Source organism: Homo sapiens, chromosome 5 (genome assembly GCF_000001405.40).
Source record: "Homo sapiens chromosome 5, GRCh38.p14 Primary Assembly".
Taxonomy (NCBI): Eukaryota; Metazoa; Chordata; class Mammalia; order Primates; family Hominidae; genus Homo; species Homo sapiens.
This window is the reverse complement of record NC_000005.10, coordinates 118280797-118290309: the sequence shown is the minus strand read 5'-3', so window position 1 is coordinate 118290309 and position 9513 is coordinate 118280797. Positions and strand designations below refer to the sequence as shown.

The window sequence follows — 9513 nt, the reverse complement described above, 5'->3', positions numbered from 1 at the left end:
GGTCAAATCTGCACATATCAATATTAACCTTGAATGTAAATGGGCTAAATACCCCAGTTAAAAAACACAGAGCGGGAAGTTGGATAAAGAAACAAGACCCAATGGTATACTATCTTTGAGAGATCCATCTCATATGCAATGAGTTCCATAGGCTCAAAGTAAAAGGATGGAGAGAAATCTAAGCAAATAGAAAACAAAAAGCTGGGCTTGTTATTCTAATTTCACACAAAACAGATTTCAAGCCAACAAAGATCAAAAAAGACAAATAAAGGACATTACATATTGGGAAAGGATTCAATCCAACAAGAAGACCTAACTATTCAAATATATGTGTATCCAACACAGGAGCACCCAGATTTATAAAGCTAGTTCTTAGAGGCTTATGTAGAGACTTAGATAACCATGCAATAATAGTGGGAGACTTCAACACCATACTGACAGTATTAGACAGATCATCAAGGCAGAAAACTAACAAAGATATTCAGAACCTGAACTTGACACTTGATCAAATGAACATAATATGTATCTACAGAACTCTTAACAGAATATACATTCTTCTCATCTGCACATGACACACACTCTAAAATCAACCTTATTATTGGCCATAAAACAATCCTTAGCAAATTCAAATAAAACAAAATCATACCAACCACCCCCTGAGATTACAGTGCAGTAAAAATAGAAATAAATACTAAGAACATTGCTCAAAACCTTACAATTAGATAGAAATTAAGCTACCTGTTCCTGAATGTCTTTTGAGTAAACAATGAAATTAAGGCAGAAATAAAAAAATTCTTTGAAATTAGTGAGAACAAAGATACAACATACCAGAATCTCTGGGATACAACTAAAGCAGTGTTAAGAATGAAGTTTATAATGCTAAATAGCCACATCAAAAATTAGATCTCAAATTAACATCACACCTAGAGGAACTAAAGAAACAAGCTCAAACTGACCCCAAAGCTAGCAAAAGACAAGAAACAAGCAGTTAGAGCTGAACTGAAGGAAATTGAGACACAAAAAACCATACAAAAGATCCATAAGTCCAATACTTCTCTGAAAGAATGCATAAGGTAAATAGACTGCTAGCTAGACTAATAAAGAAAAAGAGAAGATCCCAATAAACACAGTCAGAAATGACAAAGGAGACATTACCATTGACCTCACAGAAATACAAAAACCTTCCAAAACTGCTATGAACACCTCTATGTACACAAGCTAGGAATCCTACAAAAAATAGATAAATTCCTAGACATATAAAACCTTCCAAAATTGAACCAGGAAAAAGTTGAATTCTTGAACAGAGCAATAGTGAGTTCTGAAAAATGAATCAGTAATAAAAAACCCTACCAACAAAAAAAGCCCAGGACCCGGAAATTTACAGCTGAATTCTAGCAGACATACAAAGAAGAGTTGGTACAATTTTTACTGAAACTATTCCAAAAATTTAGCAGGAACTTCTCCCTAACTCATTCTTTGAGACCAGCATCATCCTGATACCAAAACCTGTCAGAGGTACAACTAAAAAAAGAAAACTAGAGGTCAACATTCTTTATGAACATAGATGTAAAAATCCTCAACAAAATACTTGCAAACCAAATTCAGGAGCACATCAAAAAACTAATCTGTCATAATCAAGTAGGCTTTATTCCTGGGATGCAAGGTTGGTTGAATATATACAGATCAATAAATGTGATTCATTGTATAAATAGAACTAAAAGAAAAACAAATGATTACCTCAATAGAAGCAGAAAAGGCTTTTGATGAAATTCAACATCTTTTGTATGAAAATAAATTAGGCCTTGAAGGGAAATACTTCAAAATAATAAGTGTCATCTATGGCAAGCCCACAGCAACATCATACTAAACAGGCAAAAGCTGGAAGCATTCCCCTTCCAGAACAAGATGACGATGCCCTCTCTCACCATTCCTTTTCAGCGTAGTACTGGATGTTGAAGCCAGAGTGATCAGGCAAGAGAAAGAAATGAAAGGCATCTAAGTAGGAAGAGAGGGAGTCAAACTATCTCTGTTTGCAGACAATATGATTCTATATCAAGAAAACCCCATAGTCTCTGCCCCAAAGCTCCTTGATCTGATAAACAACCTCAGCAGTTTCAAGATACAAAATCAATGTAGAAAAATCAGTAGCACTTCAATACACAAACAATATTCAAGCTGAGAGCCGAATCAAGATCACAATTCCATTCACAATTGCCACAAAAAGCATAAAATACCTAGGAGTACAGCTAGCCATGGAGGTGAAAGATCTCTACAATGAGAATGAGATTTGTAGGGATGTCTCAATACAATCTTTCACTGCTCAAAGAAATCAGAGATGACAAATAATGGAAAAACATTCTATGCTCATGGATAGGAAAAAATCAACATTGTTAAAATGGCCATACTGTCCAAAGCAATTTACATATTCAGTGCTATTCCTAGCAAACTACCAATGACATTCTTCACAGAATTAGAAAAAAAAAAACTTTTTTAAAATTTGTGAAACACAGCCAAAATAGGCAAGGCAATCCTAAGCAAAAGAACAACGTGGAGGTATCATACTACCTAATTTCAAAATATACTGCAAGGGTACAGTAACCCAAACTGCATGCTACTGGTACAAAAACAGACACATAAACTCATGGAAAATAGTAACTCAGACATAAGGCTGCACACCTACAACTATCTAATCTTCAACAAAGTCAACAAAAGCAACAGGGAAAGGATTCCCTGTTCAATAAATGGTGCTGGGATGATTGGCTAGCCATACACAGGTGATTGAAACTGGACCCCTTCCTTAAACCGTATAAAAAATCAATGCAAGATGGATTAAAGACTTAAATGTAAAACCTAAAACTATAAAAAGCCTGGAAGGCAACCTAGGAAATACCATTCTAGACATAGGACCTGGCAAAGATTTCATGATAAAGATGGCAAAAGTAATTGCAACAAAAATAGAAATTGACAAATGGGATCTAATTAAACCAATGAACTTCTGCACAGCAAAATAAACTATCAACAGAGGAAAGAGATAACCTACAGAAAGGGAGACCATATTTGCAAACTGTGCATCCAACAAAGGTCTAATATCCAGAATCTGTAAGGAACTTAAATCTACAACCAAAAAAATTCTCATTACAAAATGGGCAAAGGAGGGGATAGACACTTCAAAAGAAGGCATACATGCAGCCAATAAGTATATGAAGAAATGCCCAACATCACTAATCATTAGAGAAATGCAAACCAAAAACCATGAGATACTATCTCATACAAGTCAGAAGGGCTATTATTAAAAAGTCATATAAACAATAGATGCTGGTGAGCTTGCAGAGTAAAGGGAATGCTTATACACTGCTGGTGGGAATATAAATTACTTCAGCCATCGTGAGAGGCAGTTTGGCGATTTCTCAGAGAATTTAACAGAACTACCATTCAACCCAGAAATCCCATTATTGGTTATGTACTCAAAGGAATATAAATCATTCTGTCATAAAAACATATGCGTACGTATGTTCAGTTGCAGCAGTATTCACAATAACAAAGACACGGAATCAACCTAAATGCCCATCAACGGTAGAATAGATAAGAAAAATGTGGTACATATATACTATTTCATGGTATCATGAAATAGTACACAGCCACAAAAAAGAACAAGATCATGTCCTTTGCAGCAACACGGATGGTGCTGGAGGCCATTATCCTGAGTGAACTAGCACAGGAACAGAAAACCAAATACTGCATATTCTCACTTATAAGTGGGAGCTAAACATTGTGTATACATGGACACAAAGATGAGAACAATAGATATGAGAAGGGCAGAGGCTGGGAAGGTAGTGAGAATTGAAAACCTACCTATCTGGTACTATGCTTATTACCTACATGGTGAAATAATCTGTACACCAAATGCCCACAACATACTATTTATCCATATTACAAACCTGCACATGTATCCCGAACCTAAAATAAAGGTTAAAAAAATAGAATTTTGTTGAAAAGAAGGCTTACAATTTTTCTGAAGTGCACAGAGTATCTTGCTACGTGGTAAAAAATTTGGCTATTTTCCTCCACTATGATCTATGGAAGAACCATTTCAGTACGTATTTCAAACTGCACCTTGCTTTCAACTAATTAAATTGCTTATAGTTTTTTTTTTTAAGATTTCATTTGATAAAAGGACGGTTCTGATAAAAGTGTTTAAAACTTGCTGATCTCATAGGAGATGGAAACGATGTTCCTACCATTGGCTAAAGGAAATGAAAACTGCAGCTGCTCTTGATGCTGTCCACGTCAGCTCTTCACCACAGTCGTATGAAGGTGGCATTATTATTCCCATTTTCTAGATGAGAAAGTTGAAGCTCATGGAAATTAGATAAGTTACCCAAGCTGGCGCCTGCTGCTTTGAAAGCCTGTTTTGGCTCCGTAGCTCCATGCAGCCTCCATGTTCATCTTGAGCATGAGTGACTGGAGGCACGAAGGCAGGGGCTGCCTTTATTTTCCCTGATGACACAGTGGTGTATGTAGAATAGAGAACATGTTTAGAGGGCAGATTTGAAGAATTTACTTTCTCTTACACTTTCCTACTTATTTTGAAAGACTGTCTGCTGGCAGTGATACTTTAATCAGAAACTGATCTTTCAGAAATGAACATAAACATTCAAATATTTTTGAACATTGGAGAATTTAGTAAAGTAGAATTTATGCTGATTTGTTCGTTCATTTTATTATTTATTCAGTGATTTAGTCTTCATTTTATGAAATGGTAAACAACTTATTGTTAAAATATGATCATTGTTCCTTCTTTCTTTCTGTTTTGTTTGTTTGTTTGGTTTGGTTTTTTTTGTTTGTTTGTTTTAGAGGCAGGGTCCCACTCTGTCACCTAGGCTGGCATGCAGTGGCGTGAACATGGCTCACTGCAGCCTCAACCTCCTGGGCTCAAGCAAATCCCCCACCTCAGCCTTTGGAGTAGCTGGGACTATAGGCACACACAACCACACCCGGCTAATTTTTTCATAGTATTATTGTCTGTAGAGACAAGGTCTCGCTTTGTTGCCCAGGCTGTTCTCAAACTCTTGGCTCAAACAATTCTTCCACCTCTGGCCTCCCAAATTGTTGGGACTACAGTTGTGAGCCACCATGCCCAGCACTGTTCCTTCTTAATCTGTCAAATCTTATATTTATAGATACAGATTTTTAAATCTTAGGAGCATTCCACCACTAAATTAAGCAGCTTGAGGACATTTTAAGGTGCCATTATTATTGGGAAAGTAAAGGAGACAATGGAGGAAAAATAAATAAATAAAGAAGCACAAAAAAGAAAAAAAAAATCTGTGGTAGTGACACTTGGTGTCCGAGGTAAGAAACCCCTCTGATCCCATGCAATATTTCAGAAGGGAAGCCTCTTCAATTCATGGCATTAACCCAGACTAATCCATGGCTTTGCGTGAATTCTCTTCTTGATCTTGGGAAACAAATATATAGATAAAATGTTACTATTGTTATATACCAAGATAAAATTTCAGAACAAAATTAATCTGTAGTAAAATATTTTTGCATGTTTTATTTCTTTTTTTTATGTTAAGGTAAAACAGGTTTATTATAAATTAATATTAATATTTCAGTTTACATTTCTAATACAGTAAATATGGACAGATATAACCCACATAAACAGAAGCTCTTTGAGGTCCTTGATGGTTTTTAAGAGTGTAAAGGGGTCTTGAAACTCAAAGTCTGAGAATGACTGTCCCGAATCACCTCTCCCACCTTGTCAGTGTAATGACATGACTCAGGTCTCTGTCTGAGTCTAGACTTGTAGATAGGTCCGCAAACAAATGTCTCTTTCTAAGTGACTCAAAAGCACAACAAGCTTGACACGTGCAAATTCATGACTTTCTCTTTGAAATCTGGTTCTCTCCTGGGCTTCCCTATCATGAATGGTCCCGTGACCTACCAGCTATGCAAGTGGACATCTAGAGGTTATTTTGATCTCTGTCTCCCATACCCACCATTTCCAGCTCCAGTCTGGTGTGCAAGTGGCCCAAGTTAGCAGTGAAAATCCTGCATGGTCCTGGGAAGTTAGGCCTCACCCTCTTCTCCACCCTCACCTGTATCACCTTCCTCTTCACTCTTAGCACCCCAATCACACAGCTGCCACTTGGTTTCTCTAATAAACTGTGCTCTGTCTCACCCCAGGGCCTTTGCACAAGCAATTGGCCCTATCTGGGACCATTCCCCACTCCATATTCACCCCACCCTATATACCTTGTTAACTTTACCCAGAAAAATCTTTCTCTCTCATCTCTGACCAGATAGAATACCCTCGATAAATATACTCTTGCCCTATCTCCTCTTCTTAACAGTTAGGTCAGTTTTAATTGTACATGCATTTGTGTGGTTACTTGATGTATTAGTCTGTTTGGGCTGCCGTAACAAAATACTACAGACGGAGTTGGAGGGCAGCTTAAACAACAACAGAAGTTAATTTTCTCACAGTCTGGAAAGATCAAGATCAAGGTGCCATGAAGGTTGATATCTGGTGAGGCCTCTCTTCCTGGTTTGCAGACAGTTGCCTGTTTGCTCTGTCCTTACATGGCCTTTCCTCTGTGTACAGGTGGAGGGAGATAGAAGGAGAGAGAGAGAGAGAGAGAGAAGGAGACAGAGAGAGAGAGAGAATGATGGACAGAGAGAGAGAGAGAGAAGTATTAATCTCTGGTATCTCTTACTCTTCCCCTCCTCTTTTTTTTTTCTTTTATTTATTTATTTATTCATTTATTTTTATTGATCATTCTTGGGTGTTTCTCACAGAGGGGGATTTGGCAGGGTCATAGGACAATAGTGGAGGGAAGGTCAGCAGATAAACAAGTGAACAAAGGTCTCTGGTTTTCCTAGGCAGAGGACCCTGCGGCCTTCCGCAGTGTTTGTGTCCCTGGGTACTTGAGATTAGGGAGTGGTGATGACTCCCAACGAGCATGCTGCCTCCAACCGTCTGTTTAACAAAGCACATCTTGCACCGCCCTTAATCCATTTAACCCTGAGTGGACACAGCACATGTTTCAGAGAGCACAGGGTTGGGGGTAAGGTCATAGATCACCAGCATCCCAAGGCAGAAGAATTTTTCTTAGTACAGAACAAAATGAAGTCTCCCATGTCTACCTCTTTCTACACAGACACAGCAACAATCTGATTTCCCCATCCCCTCCCCACCTCTCCCCCGACTCTATTCCACAAAACCGCCATCGTCATCATGGCTCGTTCTCAATGAGCTGTTGGGTACACCTCCCAGACGGGGTGGTGGCCGGGCAGAGGGGCTCCTCACTTCCCAGAAGGGGCGGCCGGGCGGGGGCTGACCCCCCACCTCCCTCCCGGACGGGGCGGCTGGCCGGGCGGGGGCTGACCCCCCACCTCCCTCCCGGACGGGGCGGCTGGCCGGGCGGGGGCTGACCCCCCACCTCCCTCCTGGATGGGGCGGCTGCTGGACGGGGTGGCTGCCAGGCGGAGACGCTCCTCACTTCCCAGACAGGGTGGCTGCCGGGCGGAGGGGCTCCTCACTTCTCAGACGGGGCGGCTGGGCAGAGACGCTCCTCACCTCCCAGATGGGGTGGCGATCGGGCAGAGACACTCATCAGTTCCCAGACGGGGTCGCGGCCGGGCAGAGGCGCTCCTCACATCCCAGACAGGGCGGCGGGGCAGAGGAGCTCCCCACATCTCAGACGATGGGCGGCCGGGCAGAGACGCTCCTCACTTCCTGGACGGGATGGTGGCCGGGAGGAGGCGCTCCTCACTTCCCAGACTGGGCAGCCGGGCAGAGGGGCTCCTCACATCCCAGACGATGGGCGGCCAGGCAGAGACGCTTCTCACTTCCCAGACGGGGTGGCGGCCGGGCAGAGACTGCAATCTCGGCACTTTGGGAGGCCAAGGCAGGCGGCTGGGAGGTGGAGGTTGTAGCGAGCCGAGATCACGCCACTGCACTCCAGCCTGGGCAACATTGAGCACTGAGTGAACGAGACTCCATCTGCAATCCCGGCACCTCGGGAGGCCGAGGCTGGCAGATCACTCGCGGTTAGGAGCTGGAGACTAGCCCGGCCAACACAGTGAAACCCCGTCTCCACCAAAAAAATACGAAGACCAGTCAGGCGTGGCGGTGTGCGCCTGCAATCGCAGGCATTCGGCAGGTTGAGGCAGGAGAATCAGGGAGGGAGGTTGCAGTGAGCAGAGATGGCGGCCAGTACAGTCCAGCTTCGGCTGGGCATCAGAGGGAGACCGTGCAAAGAGAGGGAGAGGGAGCCCGTGGGGAGAGGGAGACAGGGGAGAGAGGAGAGGGGAGAGGTGAGAGGGAGAGGCATGTTTTATTTCTTAAGCATACAATGAGGTAACAATTTATTTCTAGAGTTATTTTCAAAGAAAATTAGTACTTTATAAATAGAATATGTAAACTCAAATGCCCAATAATAGTGCAATGGATAAATATGTTATTATACAGTGGAATATTTATTATGCTGTGGAATATCACATCACAATTAGAATGAAGCTCTATATCTACAACAAAAGAATGAATCTCACAAATGTAATGTTGAGTAAACAAAGCTAGATACTAACGAGTACACAGTATACAAATGTGTATGGTATACACTTCCATTTATACAAGGTCAAAACCTGGCAAAACTAATCTTTGGCTGTTAGCAATCAGCATAGGAATTTGCCTTAGGAGAAGAATAGTGAATAGTAGGAGGCACAAAGAGAGTTTCTGAAGTATCGGTAATGTTCTGATCCTTGATTTGGGTGCTTTTTATATGGGGTGTTCAGTTTGTGATAGTTCATTGTGTTGTGCAGTTAGAAATTTTGCATGTTTGTGTACCTATGGTTCTTCAATTAAATATTCACTATTAGTCAAATCTAAACAAAGCAAGCCACTAAATATGTAAGAAATTAACTGATGGCAAGTTTAGGCACAAAAAAAAGTCCTTATAAATTAGATCATCATGAAGACAAGAATTACCGTATTTCATTGATTTTATGATGCACTTATTTTAAATTTTATCATCTTTGAAATTAAAATAGATATAATTTATATTATCTCATAATTAAACAGTGGTTTCTCTCTTTAAATTGTATATAAAATAATGATCATTTAATATTAACATTGTACTAGATTTGATGAAATATGATATTAAAAGCTGTACTATATGATATAAACAAATACCTAAATAAATGGGAGATGGATATTTGTAAGGAGATGAATTGATTGTTTTCATTTAGAAAATACTAAGAAAAATTTTCTGGTTTGTGTTTATGAAATTTGTTTGAAGTAATTAATGTGTAAGCAAACCCCAAACATATTTTAATAAGAAAAATGAAGGAAGATCTAATTTACCAAATTCCAAAATATATTCTAAATATGCAGAATTAAACTAGAATGGACAAATAAAATAGTGTCATCATAAACATATCCAGATACATATAAGAATACAGTTATATTAAAAGTGACATTTCAAATCGAGGTGGAAAGTTCAGAGGGAA

The 9513-nt window shown here is 40.0% G+C and overlaps 1 long non-coding RNA gene across 1 annotated transcript; it reads right to left on the bottom strand.

Moving 5' to 3' along the window:
- Positions 1-5532: 5532 nt before the first annotated feature.
- LINC02148 (long intergenic non-protein coding RNA 2148) lies at positions 5533-7736 on the bottom strand. Its single transcript, NR_104609.1, has 2 exons — positions 7583-7736; positions 5533-6597 (listed from the first exon to the last, which is right to left on the bottom strand). It is a non-coding gene; the product is annotated as a long intergenic non-protein coding RNA 2148 (long non-coding RNA).
- Between the last annotated feature and the right edge of the window lie 1777 nt (positions 7737-9513).